General features: G+C 47.4%; 1 protein-coding gene and 1 pseudogene across 12 annotated transcripts in view, besides 4 other annotated features; both read left to right on the forward strand.

The window, feature by feature from the left end:
- Positions 3225-3726: an enhancer, noted in NCBI's record as "H3K4me1 hESC enhancer chr16:8767471-8767972 (GRCh37/hg19 assembly coordinates)". NCBI's record gives its function as "activates a minimal SCP1, AML or CMV promoter by ChIP-STARR-seq in naive H9 embryonic stem cells {active_cell/tissue: H9 hESC(naive)}" and the evidence as "EXISTENCE:reporter gene assay evidence [ECO:0000049][PMID:30033119]".
- Positions 3727-4226: an enhancer, noted in NCBI's record as "H3K4me1 hESC enhancer chr16:8767973-8768472 (GRCh37/hg19 assembly coordinates)". NCBI's record gives its function as "activates a minimal SCP1, AML or CMV promoter by ChIP-STARR-seq in naive H9 embryonic stem cells {active_cell/tissue: H9 hESC(naive)}" and the evidence as "EXISTENCE:reporter gene assay evidence [ECO:0000049][PMID:30033119]".
- Positions 3727-4280: a biological region, named in NCBI's record as "H3K4me1 hESC enhancer GRCh37_chr16:8767973-8768472".
- Positions 3821-4280: a silencer, noted in NCBI's record as "silent region_7176". NCBI's record gives its function as "represses an Ori minimal core promoter by ATAC-STARR-seq in GM12878 lymphoblastoid cells {active_cell/tissue: GM12878}" and the evidence as "EXISTENCE:reporter gene assay evidence [ECO:0000049][PMID:35858748]".
- ABAT (4-aminobutyrate aminotransferase) overlaps positions 4228-23689 on the forward strand; it is a 109954-nt gene continuing 90492 nt past the window's right edge. For all 12 annotated transcript variants that reach the window (XM_047433688.1, NM_001386602.1, NM_001386615.1 and 9 more), the window contains exon 1: positions 4228-4322. The gene's annotated coding sequence lies outside the window, so the exon portion shown is untranslated. The remainder of the gene's footprint in view (positions 4323-23689) is intronic.
- On the forward strand, positions 12870-13162 carry RN7SL743P (RNA, 7SL, cytoplasmic 743, pseudogene; annotated as a pseudogene).

The raw sequence follows: 23689 nt of genomic DNA on the forward strand, positions 1-23689 counted from the left end.
GCTTATTGATAGGCACAGAGTATGGGTGAGTCTTCATCCCAGGCCTCAGCCAAACTCTGGGAAACACTCTGCATTCCCTGGCAGACAGCTGCAACCCCAAGCAGCTCCATAGGAAAACTGCAGAATGGCAGAAAATGCAAGGGAAGCCAATATGGAAAGGGCTTTTTCCACATGCTGACAGTTTTCTTCACAAGTATCACAATGAAGCTATTTGAGAATCAGCTTGCAAAGCACCTGGCTCTAAATAGCCTTCTCTCCCTAGTCCTTAAGTAGAGACAAAGCAGCTCCTTTTATCCTCTAGAAGTGCCCTTTCCTAGGGCCTGACCCACAAATGGGTGCTCAAAACCTAGTTGAATGAATGAATGAACAGATGAATGAAGATGGCTACACACACTTCTTATTTCCCTTGATTGCCTTAGACCAGGACACGGCAGATTTTTCGCAAAGGGCTGGAAGGTAAATATTGTTGTCTTTTCAGGTCACAGAGTCTCTGTCACAGCTACTCAGCTCTGCTGTTGTAGCTCACAGACAGCCATAGACAATGCATAAATAAATAGGCCTGGCTGTGTTCCCATAAAATTTTATTTATGCACAGTAAAATTTGAATTTTATGTAGTTTCTATGTGTCACATAACATTATTCTTCTTGTGAATTTTTTTAACCATTTAATATGTAAAACCAATCTTAGCTCATGGTCATAGGAAAACATGATGAACTACATTTGGTCTATGAGCTATAGTTTGTCAACCTTTGGCTTAGACTCTTTTTTAAAAAAAAATTATTTATAAATAGAGATGGGGTTTCGCCATGTTGGCCAGGCTGGTCTCGAACCCCTGGCCTCAAGTGATCTGCCCGCCTCAGCCTCCCAGAATACTGGGATTACAGGTGTGAGCCACCACTCCGGGCCCTTTGGTTTAGACTTTTCCTTTCTGTTTTTCATTTTAAATATTTTCTTCTTAGTACCAGAGTAATATATATTCATTACAGAATAATTAGAAATTAGTGACATTGTAAAGTTTATCCTCTATTAAAAATAAACCCAAGGGGATAAAAAGAAATTACTGACATGGACATGCAAATAAAGTAATATTAGAATAATCTATAATTTCAATACACAAAAATAACCATTCTCCTACTGAACACAGTTTTTCACTCAGCATTGCTAGCTAGCTATATCGGTGCCTTTTAATATGATAGCCACTAGCTACCTGTTACTGTTACACCTTAAATTAAAATTAGATACAGGCTGGGCGTGGTGGTTCACACCTGTAATCCCAGCACTTTGGGAGGCTGAGGCAGGCAGATCACTGGAGGCCAGGAGTTTGAGACCAGCCTGGCCAACATGACGAAACCCTGTCTCTACTAAAAATTAAAAAATTAAACAACGAGCCAGGCGTGGTGGAGCACGCTTGTAATCCCAACTACTCAGGAGGCTTAGGCAGGAGAACCGCTTGAACCTGGGAGGCAGAGGTTGCAGCGAGCTGAGATCACACCACTGCACTCCAGCCTGGGTGACAGAGCGAGACTCCGTCTCTAAAAAAATAAATAAATAGATACAATTAAAATACAGTTATTCGGTTAACTAGTCATTGCTTTTTCCAAAATTTTAAATTTATTTTTCCCTTTTCCTTTTTTTATTATTTCTTTCTTTCTTTTTTTTTTTTAAACATCTTGGATACCAAAATTAGTCATTTCAGGTGTTCAATACCTCCATGTGGCTAGTGGCTACCACACGGGACGGCACAGATATAGAGCATCATAGAAAGTTATATTACACAGCATTGATCTAGCTCTACCTGGTAGATTTAACAAAAAGTAAGATGTTTAACAAAAAGTAAGACAGTACCAAATATACTGTTTTTGCAAATAACTTAACATTTTGAGATTTGTTTTGTTTTGTTTTTGAGACAGGGTCTCACTCTGTCACCCAGCTGGAGTACAGTGGTGTAATCTTGGCCCACAGCAGCCTCAACCTCCCAGGCTCAAGGCTGCCTCAGTCTCCTGAGTAGCTGGGACTACATGCATGCGCCACATCGCCCGGATAATTTTTGTATTTTTTGTAGAGACAGGGTTTCACTATGTTACCCAGGCTGGTCTTGAACTCCTTGGCTCAAGCGATCCTCTTGCCTTGGCTTCCCAAAGTGCTGGAATTACAGGCGTGTCACCACACCCAGCCCCATTCAATATTTCATACCTATGTTTATTGTTCAATTTCATGCAACAATTTCCCTCTGAGTCCCTGCTGTTGTGCATTCAAGTTGTTCCCAGTTTTTCCCTGTGATAAACAAAATGGTAGTAAGCTACTTTATCATTAAATCTTTGTACCTTTAAATGTTTTCAGATAAGTTCATAGGGATTGGATTGCTAGATCAAAGGGTCAACTTACTTTTAAGATTTTTAAAATAGAAATACCCAATTTCCCTCCAGAAAGGCTGTGATCTTTCTACTGCCATCATCAATACATGAAACTCCTTGAAGTCTTTGCAAAGAATAGTAATTATAATAATAAAAACAAGGTCATTTTGGTAGGTAAACTCTTTCCCTCTTTTGGTTTTAACTTGCCTTTCCTTTTCAAAGTGTCATCTCCCATGTTTATTGGCCGTTGTATTTCTTTGGGCAGGTCAAGGGTAGTAAAGGGGATTATGTTCATGGCTTTGGTTTTAAGAAAAAATTGCTAGATTTTCAGCACAGGCCTCATCAAGTTCCTCAAGCAAGGTGACAATCACCCAGGCTAGAGTGCAGTGGTGCCATCTCACCTCAGTGCAACCACTGCCTCTCCATTCAAGCGATTCTCATGTCTCAGCCTCCCAGGTAGCTGGGATTACAGGCAGGTGCCACCATGCCAGGCTAATTTTTGTATTTTTAATAGAAAGGGGGTTTCCCCATGATGGCCAGGCTGGTCTCGAGCTCTGGGCATCAAGTGATCTGCCTGCCTCGGCCTCCCAAAGTGCTGGAATTACAGGCGTAAGCCACTGTGCCAGGCCTCAATTATTCTTATTTACTGCTCTGTGTGTGTGTGTGTGTGTGTGTGTGTGTGTGTGTGTGTGTGTTGGGGGGGAGGGTCCCCAGAGGTGACACTAGGAGGTGAATGATTTGTTTGGCAGCTTTCTATTTATCTATGTGTTTACTTTATCTTAATTCTTTAATTGCAAGGACTATAGCGCTTGTGTAATCAGAGATAGGGCAGCCTGGATTCCTGGACAGCAGGAGGAGAGACCTCAGGGTTCTACAAGACTCCACAGACCAAGTTATCAGTGATCAGGGTGAGTGGGGAGAACCAAGCTGAACTCTTTCTCTGCCTTTAAGGTCTGTACTCTCCATCCATCCATTCATTCATTATGAGGACTTGGTGATCGCCTGTTGTCTTGATGAGCAGTTCTTTGTGTCTTTGATTTTGTCACTGAAAGATTGCATCCTCTTTCCAAATACCTCTAGAAAGCTGTGGGGGGGCTATCCATCCGTCACACCTGAGTATTAATTATCTTCCACACAGCATTTTATACAACGGTAGAAAGGCACCTTCATCATATCTAGGGTCTCGTTTATACCCACGAAGGAGGTACAATCTCTGTTGTCCCAATTTCAGGAAATTGAGGATCAGGAGGCGCAGTGACCTGCTCCAGGTCATGCAGAAGGAACCACCTCTGACTCCCAGCGCCCTGTTTGTCTTCCGGAGCGCTGGGGCCAGGCGGAGGAAAGTAGCTGGGAGCAAGAAGGGCTGGCAGGGCCCTGAGCGCCGAGATGGGGAGTGAGGTGGGGAGGGCGGGATGCTCCTTCCCTTCTCCGCAAAGGAACCCCTTCTGATTCCGACTCTGGAGCTCCAGAGACCGGATCCGAGACGCGGGTGGAGGTGGAGTTACACTCGCCTGCAGCCCTGAGGGTGTAAATGGCCCATTAAGATCCAGGTTAAATCAACCTATGGAGCTGCCCCCCAGAGGGTCAGGGTCCCCACAACTTGACGGGGGTCCTCAGCCGTCTCCTCCCCAGTCCCAGGACTCCCTCCCAGCCCTCGCGGTCCCTCTGGTGGGTCCCGCCCCAGCCCCCGTCTCCCCCGCCCCCGGAGGCTGGACTCTGCCCCCGCCCCGCCTGCCACCTCCCTCCTGGGGGCGGTGGCCCGTGGCGGGCGCACCCATTGGCTGTGGCGAAAGCGAGGGCCGGGGCTGGCGGCGCTGATTGGCCGGGACGCTCGGCGGAGCCAGGGAGTCCGGCGAGTCGCTGGGGGAAGTCGAGCAGACACCCAGCGCTGCCGGAACTCGGGGCGCGCATCCCGCAAGTCGGAACCCGGCGGATCGGATCCCGCAGATCGGAGACGGGGCCTGGAGGTGAGCGCGAGGCGCCGGGTGGCTTGGGACGGGCCCTTCCGAGGGGAGCCGAGAGGAGGTCCTTCTGCCCTGCCCCCAGGAGCAAAACCTGGGCATCTTCTCCTGGAAACGGAGCCCTCATCTTCCCAAGACGCGGGGCCCTCCCCCGAAAAGACAGGGGCTCCCACCCCCCAGAGAGCAAAATACCTTCCTTTCTCCTTCAGAAATGGGCCCTTCCTCCTGGCTCCAGCTCTAGACAGAAGTCCTCTCCCTTTTACCGCTTGAAATAGAATGCGGCCCCAAAAAGTGGTCTCCAGGTCTCTAGAGCCCCCTCACCTCTTGGGAGACTGATGCCCCTTCCCCATCCTTAGAAAACTAAGTTTGGGTGTCTTCCTTCTCCCCTCTCTTTCGGAATAATGGGGGTCTTCTCAGCTTATAAATTACAGTGACCTCCCCCTCCATGACAAATGGAAGCTCTCCCCCCATCATAAGACAAGGAAATCCCGGAGCAGAGACTCTGCAAGTCACCCTCCCACCCCAGATACTGGGCTCTGGAGAGATAGATGATTCACCCTTAGCCCTGCCGGAGACCCCTCCCTACCCGTCAGAGAGGCAGGGTGGCCTCTGACACCACCACATTAAAGGCTTTTGGGGATTTCCCCTCTCCTCCCCAGTAAAGATGTAAAATGAGGGACCTTCATACTCAGGAGCAGGGCAAAGGTCTGGCCACCCCTCCAAGTCATCCACCTCCCTCCACTCCACCCAAGCCCTTTCACACAAACCCCATCCTAGTAACCCCCTGCACCATCCTCCCACCGCTCCCAATCCCATCCTTCTCCACCTCACCCCAACTCCACTCCCACACCTGGCTGCCCCACCTATTTCACATCCTCTCACCTTTCCTCACCCACCCTGGCCAAGGTAAGACTAGAGGGGGTTCAGCGAGATTTAGTAAGACTGGAGCTCTTAAAACTGGGATCTGGGGCCTAGAGGCCCTTCCAGGAGTCTTCAAACTCTGACAACAGAGATGGCCTCTGAGGCAGCAGGACCAGCAGAGACCACCCGCCACCTCTCCCCCGCTCCCTGCCCCAACACACGCACAAAGGCTGTGTTCAATGCATTCTCTCTTGCAGTCTGGGAGGACAGCTGGCCCTCTTCCAAGAGGGCCCGCATTTCCCCCCTAAAGTGTGCACCCCCGCAAGCGCCTGTGGACATTGCCTGGTGGAATTCCCTGGGCACTCAGCCAAGAGAAATGGGTGCTGCTGGGCCCATCCACTGGGGAGGAGACAGTGTTGGCTTTGCTGCTTTGATGAAGCTAGACTAAGGGACAGGATGTTGGTGACCTGGGGGTGGGGAGGGGGTGGGAAGAGCTCTTCTCTGGTGGGTCAGGTTGGGAGGCAGGAGAGAGGGAGGCAGTGAGTTGTGTCTTGCTCTTTGGAGCCTGTGTTGCGGCGTGGAGTCATAGAGAAATGTGTTTTCTCGAGGCCCAAAGAGGTTAGCCACGGGGAGAGGTAAATGGTCCAGTCTGGAGTCCTAAGACCTAAAAGGGCTTCTGCATTAAAGACGTGGCCCCTTCATTTGACAGTTAAACACACAGAGGCACAAAAGGGGAAGAGACTTGCTCAAGGTCACCCAGCCTGTGGGAGACAGCTGGCCCCAACCCCTCCAGGACCCTTAAGGTGCTAGGATCCCTGACACAAGCCCCAGTCCTCACATTTACAATGGGGACTTGGGGACTGCTGGGTCCCAAGTCCCCACTTGTCAGAGGAAGCGCCAAGGCTCTGCAAAGGTCATGAAGCCAGGAAGGGGCAGAGCTGGAACTCAATGCCATCCCCCAGCAGGCTGCCTCGTGGAATCCATTCCTGGGTGTCAGCGCATCCCTGCTTACCCCGTGCGATCTTTGTGTTGAGGCCATTGCCAAATCTAGGCTTGCCAAAATCCAAACTGACCCAGGATAGCTAATAAGATCAGTTGCAGCTAATGAGAATGAGATGCTGGAGTGGAGGCTACTGCAGGAACCTCACTTGCATAGCTGGGTTTGCTCCAAGAACTTTGGACAGGTCCTGAGGATGTCATATTCCTTCCCTCCAAGGTCCCCTCCCTCTTAGCCCCTGCCCACGCCCTCTGGCTTTGAGTTCCCTGCACATTGTCTCATCTCTGTTCAGAGGCCTGCGTCTTTTCTCCTGGGGCATTGCATGGGAAAAGAGCTGAAATTCTGGCAGATTCTCTAGGACCACCCAGCTGGGCAGCATGGTCTGAAGTAGAGGCTCTCTCTGTTTCTGCCCCCACCCAGTTCCCAGCTAAAGGATTGGTTGTTGTGCCCCAACTTTGCCAAGGCGAAGTTCAAAGCATGAGGAGGACCACGGTAGAGAGGCCGAGAGGTTGGTCCCTGGAGACCTCTTATCTGGGTCGAGAGCACAAATCTGCCACTTAGTGTCTGATCTTAACCTCTCTGTGACATATCCTTGGGGTAAAATGAGTTAATCCTCATAAAATGTTTAGCACACAGCAAAATGAGCAGAAACAATGATTACAAGTGCAAAGTCATAAAACCTCTAATCATGAAGTGGGGAGGTGCTTATGCCTTAAGGCAAAACTTGTAACCCTTGCCGTAGATAATCTGCCAGGGCCAAGGTGCCTGGGGACAAGGGGATGTCTTCCTAGAGAGACAGTGTAGTATGTGGAATGGACCACAGACCCTGAAGCCAGATGGAGTAGAGAGTTGGCCACTGGTAGTGGCTGTCTATGGAAACTTAGGCAAGTCATTCATGTCTCTGAACCTCAGTTCCTCGTCTTTGAATGAGGTTTGTTGGGGTTGGACATCAGAAAAGAGACAGGTCTAGATGAGGGGTTCTCATTTTGGGCACTGTTGACAGTTGGGTCAGAGGATTCTTTGTTGTGGGACTCCCCTGTGTATTGTAGGATATTCAGCAGCGCCTCTGGTCTCTACCCACTAGATGCCAGTGACACTCCCTACCCCATGAGTCATGTCCATCAGAAATGTCTGCAGACATTGCCAGATGTGCCCTGGGGAGCAAAATCATCCTTTTCCTTCGCTATTGAGAACTGCTGGTCTAATACATGGCCTTAAACATAGTTGATACTTAATATAAAACAGCTTCCTAGCTGAGGCGGGTGGATGGCTTGAGCCCAGGAGTTTGAGACCAGCGTGGGCAACATGGCAAAACCCCATCTCTGTAAAATACAGGAAAAAAAAAATCAGCTGGTCATGGTGGCATGCGCCTGTAGTCCTAGCAACCTGGGAGGCTGAGGTGGGGGGATTGCTTGAGCCCGGGGAGGTCGAAGCTGCAGTGAGCCATGATCACACCACTGCATTCCAGCCTGGGTGACAGAGTGAGACACTGTCTCCAAAAAAAAACAAAATAAAAACCAAAAACAGCTTCTTTCTTGCACAAGCTCCTCGTTTTGGTTTCTGTGTAATGAGGAGAAGGAGATGTGTCTAGCTGTGGAGCCTTCCAATATTAATAACAATTTTTAATTTCTCACATTTACACAAGACTTTCTTGTCTGGTTTTTGTTTTTCTCTTTAGTAGAGACAGAGTCGGGTGGTCTCTAACTCCTAGGCTTAAGCGATCCTCCCGCCTTGGCTTCCCAAAGCACTGGGGTTACAAGTGTGAGTTACAACCAAAGCGCTGGGGTTACAAGTGTGAGTTACAGGAATAAGCCACAGCACCCAACCTACACAGGACCTTATCATCTCCAAAGCACTGTTGTGTCTATGACACTGTTTCTCACTCTACAGATAAGCAAACTAAGCCTCACAAAGGTTAAAAGACTTGTCTAAGACCATCACCCGCTTCTCCACCAGGCATCAGAGAAACATCCATGCCAGAAATTGTTTGAGAAACAACTGAGTTCTGGGCCTTCTTCAGATTAGTTATCAGGGTCTTTCGAAACTTCAATGGCATGCTCTTTGGTCCAGCAATCCCACTTTGAAAAATCTCACACAGAAATGCTCACACTTGCACTGACATAACATAAAAATGTCCATGGCAGAGCTTGCAACACTGGTATGGGAAGGGATTACAGTATATGCATTCATGTGGGAGAATGAGTAGATTTTAGATGAATGAGGTGGATCCACATTCCTGACCTTGAAAGGTTCCTGAGTCATATTATTTAGTGAAAAAGATAAAGTCACAGAATCAACATAGCCAGTATGATCCTATTTTTTTTTAAATGTAAATATGCATGAACATGGATAGTTAGGGAAGTGGGGAATTAAAAGGACCTAGATAGTATGTATGTATGAGAACATATTCCTGGGGGAAGAAGAAGAAAATAAATCTCCGCCAGCTTCCCATGCATTAAAAATGAGCAAAGTGGGCTGGCCACCTTGTCTCACGTCTGCGATCCCAGCACTTTGGGAGGCTGAGGCGGCAGAATCACTTGAGCCCAGGAGTTTGAGGCTGCAGTGAGTTGTGAGTGAGCCACTGCACTCCAACCTGGGCAACAAAGGGACACTGTAAATAATTAATCATAAGATAAAAATTAAAATGAATAGAGCACAACCCACAGAGGTTGAGAGACTTGCTAACACCAGAAGTTGCCAGTGGTGAAATTCAGCTTTGAGTTTGCTGATAGTTACGGGGCCAAGAGACAGGAATCTGAGGCTCATCTCAGCAGGCCAAGCCTCCTTCCTTACTGTGGGGAAATTCCTTCTCTGAGCACCTAGAGGGATCCTGGTGTCAGACTGACCTCACCTGAATCAGGCTTCCACCCACGTGATGACCTCAGGCCAGCCACTTTAACTCTCAGTGCCTCATTTCTCTAACTTTAAAATAGCTAAAAGGCAAAGGAAAAAACATGAAAGCCAAAAAAAAAAAAAAAGGTAGAAGGAGGAGGCAATAGTAGAACCTCTCTCATTGGGCCGCTGTGAGGATTACATAAAACCATGTGTTCCGACCCCCAGTACTTAGTAGGTGCTTAATTAACACGAGCCCTGGTCTCTCCTGCCTTTTTCTCTGCTTGCCTGCTCCTTGCCAGGATGCAGAAGACAAAAGCCTCAGAAAGGACAGTGGGGGCTCCTGAGGCCCCAAGAATGCTTAGCAGGCTGAATCAGTTGTCCTCACTTCTTCACTTTGCCCTCTGATCCACCATGACCACTCTGCTGCAGGAGCTTTTAACAGAAAGCCTGGGAGAGCATTCTGAGGGGGTCTGTGCTATAGCTCTTCCTCCCTGGGGTCTAACCATCCTTGCTTTCTCTAGACACTCCACACATTAAACTGTCTTGCCCGTTGCAGGGATGGGATGGCATCATGTGGCCTCTAATTACACATCCCTTCAATAATAAGATTGACTCTCCAAGGGCAAGTTTTCCTCCTCCTTCAAAAGCTATCTCACATTGCGTCTTTTACAGGTAGTCTTCCCCGACCCTCCCCCACCTCCAGCCAGGAAAACCATTTCTCCTCCTCCCAACTCCTGTCATCCACATCCTAGACTTCCTGGGTCTGCCACATCCTATTCTTCCTGGGTCCATCACATCCTAGATTTCTTGGGTCCATCACTGTTTGCTGGATTTCTTCCCAATCCATAATTGCCTGGAAGCAGCCATCACATCCATCACATTTATTCTTGTGTCTTAAATGCATAGCACACTTCCCTATGCACACAGTAGATATTCAAGGAGCATTGACTGAATGCAGAAAAGTATTTTTTAAATTGGGGTAAAATACACATAACATGAAATTGACCATTTTCATCATTTTATTTTTATGTATTTTTTTGGGGGGCAGGGGGAATCTTGCTCTGTCACCCAGGCTGGAGTGCAGTGGTGTGATCTCGGCTTACTGCAACCTCTGCCTCCTGGGTTCAGGCAATTCTGACTCAGCCTCCCAAGTAGCTGGGATTACATGTGTGGGCCACAACCACGCCCGGCTAATTTTTTTGTATTTTTAGTAGAGACGGGGTTTCACCATGTTGGCCAGGCTGGTCTTGAACTACTGACCTCAAGTGATCCGCCTGCCTCGGCTTCCCAAAGTGCTGGGATTACTGGCATGAGCCACTGCGCCCGACCTCCATTTTTTGATTATTATCATTGGGGTCACTGTGGCAGGTGTGAAGCAATACCACATTGTGGTTTTGATTTGCATTTCCCTAATGACTGATGGCATTGAGCATCTTATGTGTTTGTTGCTTATTTGTATATTATCTTCAGAGAAATGTCTACTCAAGTTCTTTGCCCATTTTTGAATTGAGTTGTCTTTTTGTCTTTTTGTTCTTGAGCTGTAAGAGTTCTTCTTTTCTCTTTTTCTTTTTCTTTTTATTTATCTATTTTTTTTTTTGAGACAGAGTCTCACCCTGTCTGTCACCCAAGCTGGAGTGCAGTGGCATGATCATAGCTTACTGCAGCCTTGACTTCCCAAGCTCAAACAATCCTTCTGCCTCAGTCTTCCAAGTAACTGGCACAACAGGTGCCACCACACCTGGCTAATTTTTTAAAAAGCATTTTTTTGTTGTTGTTGAGATGGAGTCTCCCTATGTAGCCCAGGCTGGTTTTGAACTCCTAGGATCAAGCGATTCTCCCACCTCGGCCTCCCAAAGTGCTGGGATTACAAGTGTGAACTGCCTCGCCTGGCCCAGAGTTCTTTATATAAATAAATGTTTCTTTGTGTCACTATTTCTTCATCCACTTAAATATTTGCTCAGCTCCTGTAGGTCACACACTATCTTGTGATCCTGGGAATACCACCAGTTCCTGCCTATCAGGAACTCACAGTCTACTGCAAAGTTTCTCAGCCTCTACACTTTTTTTTTTTTTTTTGAGAGGGAGTCTTGCTCTGTTGCCCAGGCTGGAGTGCAGTGGCATGATCATGTTTACCTGGAACCTATGAATAGGACCTAATTTGGAAATAGAGACTTTGCAGAAATAGTTAGGTTGAAATGAGGTCTTTCTGCATTAGAGTGGCCCCTAATCCAATGACTGCTATCTTTTTTTTTTTTTTTTTTGAGATGGAGTCTTGCTCTGTTGCCCAGGCTGGGGTGCAGTGGTGCAATCTCAGCTCACTGCAACTTCTGCCTCCCGGGTTCAAGCGATTCTCCTGCCTCAGCATCCTGAGTAGCTGGGATTACAGGCACCCGCCACCACACTCAGCTAATTTTTGTATTTTTAGTGGAGACAGGGTTTCACCATGTTGGCCAGGCTGGTCTTGAACTTGTGACCTCAGGTGATCCACCCGCCTCGGCCTCCCAAAGTGCTGGGATTACAGGCTGAGCCACCTCTCCTGGCCCACCTCTATACTACTGACGTGGAAGCGAGGCTGTCCTGTGCCGGATGTTTAGCAGCATTCTTGGCCTCCACCCACCAGACGCTGGCAACATACCTTCCTCCACGTTGTGACAGCCAGAAATGTCTCCAGGCATTATGAAGTGTCCCCTGGGGAACAAGATTGCCCCTGGTTGAGAATCACCGGTTAGAGGCTAAGACAGCCGTGTATATCTATAATTTCAATCAGATTGCTTGTGCCTAACAGGATACACACACACACACACACACACACACACACACACACACACAGAGGAGGCATTCAGGATGTATTTGTTGGATGTTGGATGGCTGGGGGTGTAGATGGATGCATGGATGGACAGACACAACCCCTTTGTTGGTTGGCTAGATTGATGGATACATGTGTGAATGAATGGATGAATAAATGAATCCAATTTACAAATTCCACTGTGGGAAAACAGAACGCTATTCTTCCAACCAGAGTAGCCTGCCCCTTTATCTCTGTCTAGCACAGTGTTTTTCAAACTTTAGCATCAGAATCCCCTCAAGAGCTTGTTAAAACACAGATTGATGCCCCTGCCCACCAGAATTATGATTTAGTAGAATCACCGGCGGCCAGAATGCTCCCAACTCTATTTCCATGTTCTCTAGGAATCCTGGACCAGCCCCCGACCCCTGCCAACCTTGTCCTTGTCCAGAGGTCCCGTAATCTTCACTGCCAGCATCTCCCATTTAGGTGCTAACATCTATTATCTTGGATATCAGCAACTTGCCAGCACTCTGTCCCTGGGCTGCACTGAGAATTCCTTCAAAGGTGGGACCCACTGTATTCTAGTACCTTACTACTGAAAGTGTGGTCCAGCGGCCAGCAGCATTGCATCTTCTAGGAGCTAGCTAGAAATGCAGAATCTTGGGCCCCACCCAGAACTACAGAATGTGAATCTGCGTTTTAACAATATCCCCTGGGGTGATTTGTGTGCACTTTTAAGTTTGAGAAGCGTATTTTAGACAGATCTGTAAACCCCACACTCAGAGCTAAGCTAGGGATAGCTTTGCTGATAAGTTACATTGACAGCATCTGTTACCATGTAATTGGTGCCTGAGCTGAAGCATCTTTCAGGCATTACTGGCCATTTGTACCTTTGCCTGACGTTATCTCTTGAAATGTCTACACTGGCCTCGCTTTACCCGTGGGAAACCAGAAGCCCAGAGGAGCAGTGCCTTGCCCAAGGTCACACGATGACCATGAAAGCAGAGTGGAGATCACTCTCCACTCCTTAAAGGGAATGGGATCAAGAGGATTGAAATGCTGTATCCACTGAGCAGGGCGGCACATGCCTGTAGTCCCAGCTACTCGGGAGGCTGAGGCAAGAGGATTGCTTGAACCCAGGAGTTCTGGGCCGTACTGTACTATACCAGTCAGGTGTCTGCATTAGTTCGGCATCAATATGGTGACCTCCTGGGAGTGGAGGACCACCAGCTTGCCTAAGAAGGGGTGAACCAGCCCAGGTCAGAAACAGAGCAGGTCAAAACTCCTGTGCTGATCGGTAGTGGAATTATGCCTGTAAATAGCTACTGCACTCCAGCCTGGGCAACATAGTGGAACCCTGTTTCTAAAAAAAAAAAAGAGAGAGAGAGAGAGAGAAAAGAACTGAAATGCTGCTATGATACTGAAAATATGGGGTGTAGGGGGAGCATTCTGAAGCTACTTAGGTCTGTCCTCTGAAACTGGAGAAAGGGGAGATGACTTGAAAGTGATGCAAGAACAAGAACTTAAGTTGTATTCTTTTGTTCATCCAACCAGTGTTTATTGAGTACTTACTAGACTCCAGGCATGGTTGTCTGGTATCTATAGTATTGAACAAGAAAAGCCAGGCCTCCCTTTTGATGGCTTATCTGGAGTGGACAGACGTAGCCATCTGGCATTCATTCGTCAATGAGTGTGTTCATTTATTGCATGATTTCCATGTGCTGTGTACAGTAGTAGGGGTGTGTGCGTGTCTATGTGTCTGTGTGTGTGAGAGAGACAGAGAGAGAGAGAGAGATGGAGGGAGAGACAAAGACTCAGCTACTACACCAGCGCCTCTTCTAGACTAGCCATGCGGAAACAGGCCCCAAAACAAGGACCACACAGTGAGGAGAGTGCCGAAGGTGTGTGGGAGTGAATACAGGTTCAAGCTCAAAGTAAAAAGAGGTTACCACTCCCTGTTCCTGGGGATTCTAGGGAAGAAATTTCAGGAGGAAAAGGCAGAAAAGAAGAGAAAGAGACTCTGTGCAGGGAGAGCATCATGAACAGGCCCAGAGAGTTCATAGGAAGCCGTTCCAAGAAAATCGCAGGGGAAAAAGGAAGGATAGACAGCGTATGGTGGCTCGCACCTGCAATCCCAGCGCTTTGAGAGGCCGAGGTGGGTGGATCACTTGAACCCAGGAGTTCAAGACCAGCCTGGCCAACATGGCCAAACCCCGCCTCTACAAAAAATACTAAAATTAGCCGGGCATGGTGATGCATGCTTGTAGTCCCAACTACTCAGGAAGCTGAGGCAGGAAGATTACTTGAGCCCAGGAGTTTGAGACCAGCCTGGGCAACATAGCAAGACCCCTCAAGACCCCTTCTCTACAAAAAATTTTAAAAATTAGCCAGGTGTGGTAATGTGCACCTGTAGTCCCAGCTACTCAGGAGGCTGAGGCAGGAGGGTCGCTTGAGTCAAGGAGGCCGAGCCAGGCTGCACTGAGCCATAATCATGCCACTGCACTCCAGCGTGGACAACAGAGTGAGATCCTGTCTCAAAAAAAAAAAAAAAAAGGTGGAGGGTAAAATCATGAATCTCATACAGATACAAAAACACTCAATGATTTTATTAGGCTCATTCAATGAGGGAACCAGGCAGACATTAGAACCAGTTCAAAGGAAAAGTCAAATAAAGCACAAATATGTAAAGAGTAAAGGGAGGTCTAAATAGATTCAAAACAGAGGCAAACATGGTTGGACAAGGCAGAATTTGCTTGTCTATCAGTTTTCTACAACTTACAAAGGAGTCAGCAAAGTAGTTTGAAAATAATGAACAAGGCCAGGCATGGTGGTTCATGCCTGCAATCCTAGCACTTTGGGAGGCCGAGGTGGACAGATTGCTTGAGCTCAGGAGTTCGAGACCACCTTGGGCAACATGGTGAAACCCTGTCTCTACCAAAAATACAAAAAATTGGTCAAGCATGGTGGTGCGTGCCTATAGTGCCAACTACTCGGGAGGCTGAGGCACAAGAATCACTTGAGCCTGGGAAGGGGAGGTTGCAGTGAGCCAGGATCACGCCATTGCACTCCAGCTTGAGCAATGGAGACCCTGTCTCAAAATAACAATAATAATGAACAAGTGAACAAGGCTAGAATCAGATAATCCAAAAATTTGTGTTGTAAGTAGGTAGTGCATAACTCTTTTTCTATAAAAACAATGTTACGCCGGGTGTGGTGGCTCTCGCCTGTAATCCAGCACTTTGGGAGGCCGAGGCAGGCAGATTGCCTGAGCTCAGGAGTTCGCGACCAACTTGGGCAACACAGCGAAACCCTGTCTCTGCTAAAAATACAAAAAAAAAAATTAGCCTGGCGTGGCAGCCTGCGCCTGTAGTCCCAACTACTTGGGAGGCTGAGGCAGGAGAATCGCTTGAACCCGGGAGGCGGAGGTTGCAGTGAGCCAAGATTACGCCACTGCACTCCAGCCTGGGCAACAGAGCAAAACCCTGTCTCAAAACAAAAACAAAAAAACAAACAACAGCAACATCGAAAAAACAAAAAAACAAAAAACCAATGTTCAAGTGATGGAGAGGCATGGGTGGATGAGGAGTGGCAAGAGGAGGCTGTAGGAAGAGTAGATCATGTCCCGCCAGGTGACCCATGATCTTGAATTTGGACTTGACTCAGAGACCCATAGGGAACCATGGAAGAGATTAAAGCAAGGCAGTGATGTGATTTTGTTATCACTTGAGAAAGATCCTCCTGGAAGCTGAATGGAGAGTAGACAGACACCTTCTCCCACTAGCCTTTGAGCTCAGATTTCCTTAGGGAAACAGCCAATCCCAGGGGCAGATTGCTGACCTTCCTGCAAAAGGTTTTAGAACGTGGAAGCTCCTTCAGGGCAAGGTTGGCTGAACACCAGCCAAAAGAGCAAGGCACCACCCCGGCAGGACAGGGCTGTTTTGTGCACGGGAACAAAGCCTGCCTCCTCTCTCTGCCCAGAGCTGTAAATAGCACTCTGCTGGCTTCGCAGGCTGAGCGCCGGTCTGGGGACAGGCTGAAAATGCACACACCAAGGAGCATTTGTGCAAATGAATGCCTGCATGCAAATTTGCATGCCTGGCATCCTGCCCCAGCCCTAAGTGTCCAGTCCTGCAAGGGGCTGGAAGCAGGGCTCAAAAAAGAGCCACACACAGAAGAGTGTGGACATTCTGACCTGGGGACAGGTTCCAGGAGGGATTCAGAGGCAGGCTGGCAGGGTGAGTGGGAGAAAACATGCAGAGAACCCTGGACAGAGTTTTGGCTCCAGCTTTACCCATGATAATGACAATGACCCATGAGTAGTAGCCACTCACATTGGCTGTGTATTTGTGTGTAGTTGCTCACCTTGTCGCTCACAACAGCCCTATGAGGAAAGGCTGATCAGATTTCAGAGACAGGAAATGGAAACTCAGAAAGGATGACTGACTCGCCCAGGGTCTCCTACTGAAGGGAGCATTTCTAGTGAGAAACCGAGGCTTGAAGACTCTGGAGCCCTGGTGTCTAGGACTGACCCACATGGACGCCTCTGCATATGCCCACTGCTGGCTCTGACCTCAGTTTACTCCTCCATCAAAGGGTGCAATAATGTCTTTGCACCTAATGATCACAGCAGAGTTTGGGAAATGAACTACCCCTGCAAATGAGAAAGACTTGAAAAGTCATCAATGCTGAATATGAACTGATGGTATGTGGAGAAAGTCTGAAAGTGCTTTCCTTAGCCCCAGAGACAGGGTGTGGAGTGCAAGGCCAACCTTGTTTGTACTCAGGGGCTTTGGAAGTGCAGAGTGGCCTTGGATGGGTGGAGGTGAAGGCATGCTGAAGCTTGCTGAACCACTCCCGGATCATAGGTGAGCCAGGTTGGGTCTAGTCTGTTTTTTTTCCCTTGAGAGGAAGAGATGGTGGGTGCATTGTGGAGAGAGAGGGAAACAGTGACCCTGAGGTGGGGACGCACATCTGGACGGAAAGTGTTTGCCGAGAGCACTTGGCCGCCTGCCCTCCCACGGAGCAGGTGCTAGTCTTGGGTCCCGCTCTTCCGGGTTCTTCAGAAGCTGAGCTCCGGTCTGTAATCCCAGCACTTTGGGAGGCTGAGGCGGGCGAATCACGAGGTCAGGAGATGGAGACCATCCTGGTCAACACGGTGAAACCCCGTCTCTACTACAAATACAAAAAAAATTAGCTGGGTGTTGTGGCGCATGCCTGTAATCCCAGCCACACGGGAGGCTGAGGCAGGAGAATAGCTTGAACCAGGGAGTCGGAGGTTGCAATGAGCCGAGATCGCGCCACCGCACTCCAGCCTGGCGACAGAGTGAGACTCCATCTCAAAAAACAAAAAACAAAACAAAAACAGAAGCTGAGCAGCTTGCTGTTTGTTTGGACTGAGCAGTCCTTCCAGCAGCAGCCACCTGTCAACAAATCAGATCATTTGCGGGTCATCCATCAGGTCCCACGCGGTGCATCCCCTGAAAGGCCTGTGGTGGGGCTTGGGCTGAGGCCTGTGTCTTAGACCTGTGAGATCAGGGGAAAGTCCTGAGTCTGGAAAGCAGCTGTGCTGCTGGCTCCCTGAGTGCCCGGGAGCCAGTGATTTCTGTCCAGGCCTCAGTTTCCTCACCTGTAAAATGGCAACAACAAAACTACCTTTTGAAACATTATATGAATGGTTGTTAAATTGGAAAACTGGATGATAAGAGTTGAATGCTCTTTTTTTTTTTTAAGAGACAGGGGTCTCACTCTGTTGCTCAAGCTGGAGTGCACTGGCACCATCGTAGCTTACTGCAGCCTCGGCCTCTAGGCTCAAGGGATCCTCCTGCCTCAGCCTCCCCAGTAGCTGGAACTATAGGCCCGTTCCCTGCCCCGCTATTTTACTTATTTTTTATTTTTTTTGTAGAGGCAAGGTCTTGCTATGTTGCCAAGGCTGGTCTCAAACTCCTGGCCTCAAGCAATCCTCCCAAAGTGCTGGGATTATAGGCATGAGCCACCGCACCCGGCCAAAAGTTGAATGCTTCCTACCTACAAGACACTGGGTAACACTGGGTACTACTTGGACTATCTCATTTTTAACCTCTTAGTAAGGTGGGAAAGGTCTTCTTCTTTTAAGCTTCTTCACCAAGGTCACAGAGGTAGCAAGAAGTTGAAACAGGACTTGAACTAGGATCTGCCTGGCTCCAAAACCTAAGTCTCCAAACATGGGGTTATTGGAGGACCTCCCAGGGCCAGGGACTTAGAAGCCCTCCTCCTTCCCTTCCTGTACCTTTATTCCTCAAGTCTGTATAGACTTACTCTGTTTTTTTAACAATTTACTTTTTGAATAGGCAATCATGGCACGTGGTAAAACACTCAAACACTGCAACTCAATCTACAGAAAAAAAAGTAAATTTTTCTCCCTCATCCCCATCCTGTGGACCCCTTTGCCTCATTAGAGGCAAATAGTCACCAAGGCCAGGGTCTTACTATGTTGCCCAGGCTAGTCTCAAACTCTTGGCCTCAAGTGATCCTCCCATCTCAGCCTCCTGAAGTGCCGGGATTACAGGCATGAGCCACCAAGCCTGGTCTTCCTTTATGGTTAATGCTTTTTGTGTCCTACTTAAGAAGTCCAGCTGGGCATGGTATCTCACACCTGTAATCCCAACACTTTGGGAGGCCAAGGCAGGTGGATCACGAGGTCAGGAGTTCGAGACCAGCCTGGCCACCATAGTGAAATTCCATCTGTACTAAAAATACACAAAAAAATTAGCCGGGCGTGGTGGCAGGTGCCTTTAGTCCCAGCTACTTGGGAGGCTGAGGCAGGAGAATCACTTGAACCCAGAAGGCAGAGGTTGCAGTGAGCCGAGATTGCACCACTGCACTCCAGCCTGGGTGATAGAGTGAGACCCTGTCTCAAAAAAAAAAAAAAAAAAGTTCAACGTCATTTGTGTTGTTTCTTCTATTATCTTCTGGAAGCTTTCATGTTTTGCCTTTCATATTTATCTCCAGCATCCACCTAGGGTTGATTTTTATGTATTGTATTAGGTAGAATCATGATTAATTTTTTCCTACATAGATAGTTCATTTGGCCCAGTATCACTGCCTCCATTGTCAAAAATCAAGTGTCCATATATGCATGTATGTGTTTCTATTCTCTGTTCGGTTCTATTAATCCGTGTGTTTAATCTTTGCCCCCATACCACATCTTGACTGCTGTAGCCTTAGAATATGATAGGCATTGCCTCGTTGCCCTCTAAAGAGACTGCACCAATCAAGACTTACTAACAATTTGACAAAAATGTATTGGGCTTCCAGTACAGTGCCAGATGGTATCATGATGGGAATTCAAGTCTAATCATATGCACAACTTCTACCTTAAAGTGTATAGTCTTATAAGTGACAAGACATGAACCAAATAATTCCACAAATAGAGGTAACATATGAATGTGATGGGGCCACAAAGGGGAGCTGTGTAGGATTCTGTGCTAAAAGGAAGATTTGATCTGGTGGGAGAGGTTCAGGGAAGTCTTCTCTGAGAAAGTGAGTCATGAACTGATATCAGAAGTGTGAGTAGAAATGAAGGAATCAGAAGCAAGGGAAAAGCATTTTGGGTGGTGGGAACAGCATCTGCAAAGACTGAGTAGAAGCCTTCCCAGGACAAACAGTAGATCCTCGTGGCCAAACCCAGAGTCAGGAAGGTGCTATGCACAGAAATTGGAATGGTGATAGGGACCAGACCTCAAGGCCTTTAAACTACATTCAACAGCTGGTTTTTATACCTAGAACAACTATCCTAAGAACAATAACAAGAGTCACCTTGAATATTCCAGATTTAGGGTAGTTCCAAGAGCCTTTTCAGCACAACTAGGGTTGCTTCTTGGCAGGAGAAGAATGTGTATGGCAACCCCTGGAGTGACACATCAGTTTTATTAAGCTTCATCTCCCAGCTCCTGGCACTGAACATTTCATTTTTGCTAGCAGTGGAAGCAACAGTTTTACTGTGCAGTCAGCCCAGGTTCTGGCAGCAGCAGCATCTGCCTGGCACCATCTCAGGTCTGGAACTCTTTTCTCCCCAGCCTGGCGAGTGTCTTGCTTGCTGGAGTGTCCCTTAAGGTGGACCTGGTGCCAGCCGCAGTGCTGTGAACTTGAACTGTTTCTCCTCATTCACCATCATCTCTACTCCTCACCCGTGGAGGCATGATTCCTACTCTATGGATAAGAACACAGAAGCTTAGAGAGCTTAAGTCACTTGCCTAAGACCACACACCTTCCAAAGGGCAAATATAAAAGTCTCCAACAATATATTTTTCTACATTTTTTGTGGTACTTTTTTCCTTTTCAAAATATAGAGTGAGTCATACTCATCAGGAATTTTACGTACAGAATGACAACATTTCTGGGGAGTAGGACAGGATTCTGAGATGTTTCCAATCTGTGCCTTGAGCGGATCCGATGATTTATCCAGATCTAAGACCCTCATCTCATTCTCGGCAGTGCCTTTTAAATTTGGCAGCCAACATGGGGTTTTGGTTCTTTCTGCACCAAGTGGAGTAATTAAGAAGGTTTTCATCAAGGTAAATATCTGCTGGGTTTCTATAGAATTGTGGGGAGGAAGTTGAATATACACCAGCACCCAAAATCTCATTAAATGGGTCTGCCCCTTGTTCCAGGACAGGAGAGCCAAACATAGCGGACAGGATTGATGTTGTTTTCATGAATGTAGGTGGCCGCTGTGTTCTTTGTGGGTTTTCAAGGTGGGAATTTGTTTGCAAATGAATGTATGAAGAAGCCAGGAGTTAACACTGCTTCAGGGAGGTTTTAGAGCCTGGGGGAAATAATGTTGTTTTAGAATTTTTAGAATAAGTATTGGCAGTGTGTTGGGGGAAAAAAAAAAACCCTGAAAAATAGAATACAGATTTCAGTTAAGCTCTCCCTTCGTCAAACCACACTTGCCCATATTGGCACATAGCTTGATGCTACAGCCACACCTCCTCTGTTTATTATCTACTTAGTGCTTGGTAATATACTGTGTACTATGAGTACCCTCTCTGGGAACCCCACAATAACCCTTTGATGTGGTTTCAAACCCATTTTACAGATGAGGGGCTATTACAGAACTTGCACCAGGTCCTCAGAAACCAAGTGAGGGAGTTGGGATTTGAACCCCTTCACCTGAACACTTGCACCTGCCTGCAGTTAATACATCACATTGGAGCAGATAACCTGCCACATTTCCTGGAGAGCAGGGTTCTCTGCTGCAACTGTGCTCCCCAGGGAACTTTTTTTTTTTTCCAAGACAGACTCTCACTCTGTTGCCTAGGTTGGAGTGCAGTGGCACAATTTTGGCTCAATGCAATCTCTGCCTCCTGGGTTCAAGCAATTCTCCTGCCTCAGCTTCCTGAGTAGCTGGAATTACAGTCGTGCACCACCACACTCGGCAACATTTTTGTATTTTTAATAGAGAGGGGGTTTCGCCATGTTGGCCAGGCGGGTCTCAAACTCCTGATCTCAGGCGATCCTCTGCCCTCAGCCTCACAAAGTGCTGGGATTACAGGTGTGAGCCACCGCGCCCAGTGCCAAGGGACTTTTGGCAAGGTCTGGAGATGCTTTTGGTTGTTACAACTGGTGGGGGAATGAAGAATGCTACTGGCATCTGGTGGGCAGAGGCCAGGGATTCTGCTAACCATTCTAACTCCTCCCTCCGCAACAAAGAATTACCTGGCCCCAAAAGTCAATAGTGCTGAGGTTGCAAAACCCTGAATAAAAGAGCACAACTTCTATACCCCTTCCAGTGTTTTCACAGGAAGTTTCTGTTACGAACCACACCTGTTTTCAGTACCTTGTCCCTGGTGACTGGTTCTTATCGGGCTTCTGAACTTTCCTTCCAGTAGAGTGGCAGGACCTGGGTTCCATGTTAGAGTCAGTAAAACGTGGGCCAGTCGCCGTGGGCTCATGTCTGTAATCCCAGAACTTTGGGACGCCAAGGTGGGAGGATCACTTAAGGCCAGGAGTTAGAGACCAGTCTGGGCAACAAAGTAAGACTTTGTCCCTACAGAAAATAAAAAAATTAGCCAGGCACTGTGGTTCATGCTTGTGGTCCCAGCTACCCGGGAGGCTGAGTTGGGAGGATAAGCCCAGGAAATCAAGGCTGCAGTGAGCTGTGATCACACCACTGCCCTCCAGCTTGGGCGACAAAGCAAGACCCTATCTCAAAAAAATACATTATAATTAATAAATAAGTAAATAAATAAATAGAGTCCATAAAATGCTTTCGGCAACATGGCTAAGAAGGAGGCAGTTGAGCAGGTGAGGTTTGCCTCTTGGAAGCTGCATTCCAGGACATTTCCAGTACTGCAGACTCATACCTTTTTTGCTAGGGGGATTGAGAGGAAAATCCCCCCAAAAGGGCCTGAAGCTCTTAGCACTTGCCATGTCATATTTTCTTCCTCCTGATGGGAATGGAGCATGCTCACAAATTCACACCTTTGCTGCTGAACATGGTATGCCAAAGGTCACTGCACTCCGCTGGGCTAGCTATCTGCATTTCTATCTTGAAGGAGCAAGCAAACATGCAAATCTCTTGCCTTGCCCTTTGTGCGGGGGTTCGGCTACCTGGCTGACTGAAAGAACACTTCCCCTACTACATTTAAGGAGAACTTTGCTTGGCTCAGACCTTTGAAGGATCCAAAGGTACCTTTTTCTTTTTTGAGATGGAGCCTCACTCTGTTGCCCAGGCTGGAGTGCAGTGGTGCAATCTCAGCTCACTGCAATCTCCACCTCCCAGGTTCAAATGATTCTCCTGCCTCAGCCTCCTGAGTAGCTGGGATTACAGGTGCACACCACCACATCTGGCTAATTTTTGTATTTTTAGTAGAGAATGGGGTTTTACCATGTTGGCCAGGATGGTCTCGAACTCATGACCTCAGGTGATCCACCTGCCTCAGACTCCCAAAGTGTTGGGATTACAGGCTTGAGCCACAATGCCCAGCCTCCATGTGTAACTTTTGACTCCCCAAAAACTTTACTACTAATAGCATCCGGCTAACCTGAAGCCTACTAGTAACATAAACAGTTAATTACAAGATTAGCCTCTACGTATATTTTATGCATCCATGACATACCTAGCTTTTTCTTAAATTTTTTCAATGTTTCTAGGCTACACAGTTTGTCTTTGAGTTTTTCTAGTTGTCACAAATCTCCAAAAAAAATTCCAGTATATTTATTGAAAAAAATCCTCATATTAGTGGAGCCATGCATTTCAAATCCATGTTATTGAAGGGAATACTCTTTTTAGGTCTTTTTATTTTTAGTTTTTTGAGACAGACTCTGAGTGTCGCTCTGTCACCCAGACTGGAGTGCAGTGGCACGATCTCAGCTCACTGCAACCTCCGCCTCCCGGGTTCACGTGATCCTCATGCCTCGGCCTCCTGAGTAGCTGGGATTATAGGCATGTGCCATGATACTGGGCTAATTTTGGTATGTTTAGTAGAGACTGGGTTTTGCCATGTTGGCCAGGCTGGTCTTGAACTCCTGACCTCAAGTGATCTGCCTGCCTCAGCTTCCCAAAGTGCTGGGATTACGAGTATAAGCCACCATGCCCAGCTTGTTTTTAGGTCTTGAATTTGCTTGGAGGGTTTTATTTTGTTTCACTTTGCCCATTCTTTTAAGTAAATTTTTTGTTTTGAGATTAGTGTAGATTCACACACAGTCATAAGAAATGATACAGAGAGATCCTATGGGTCCTTCATCCTATTTTCCCCAACGGCACCATCTTACTAACCCATAGAGTACAATATCACAACCAAGATACTGACATTGATACAGTCCATCCATTTTAATTTTAATTTTTTTATTCTTTATTTTTATTTATTTGTTTATTTTTTGAGACAGAATCTCGCACTGTCACCCAGGCTG

This window comes from Homo sapiens, chromosome 16, assembly GCF_000001405.40.
Source record: "Homo sapiens chromosome 16, GRCh38.p14 Primary Assembly".
Taxonomy (NCBI): Eukaryota; Metazoa; Chordata; class Mammalia; order Primates; family Hominidae; genus Homo; species Homo sapiens.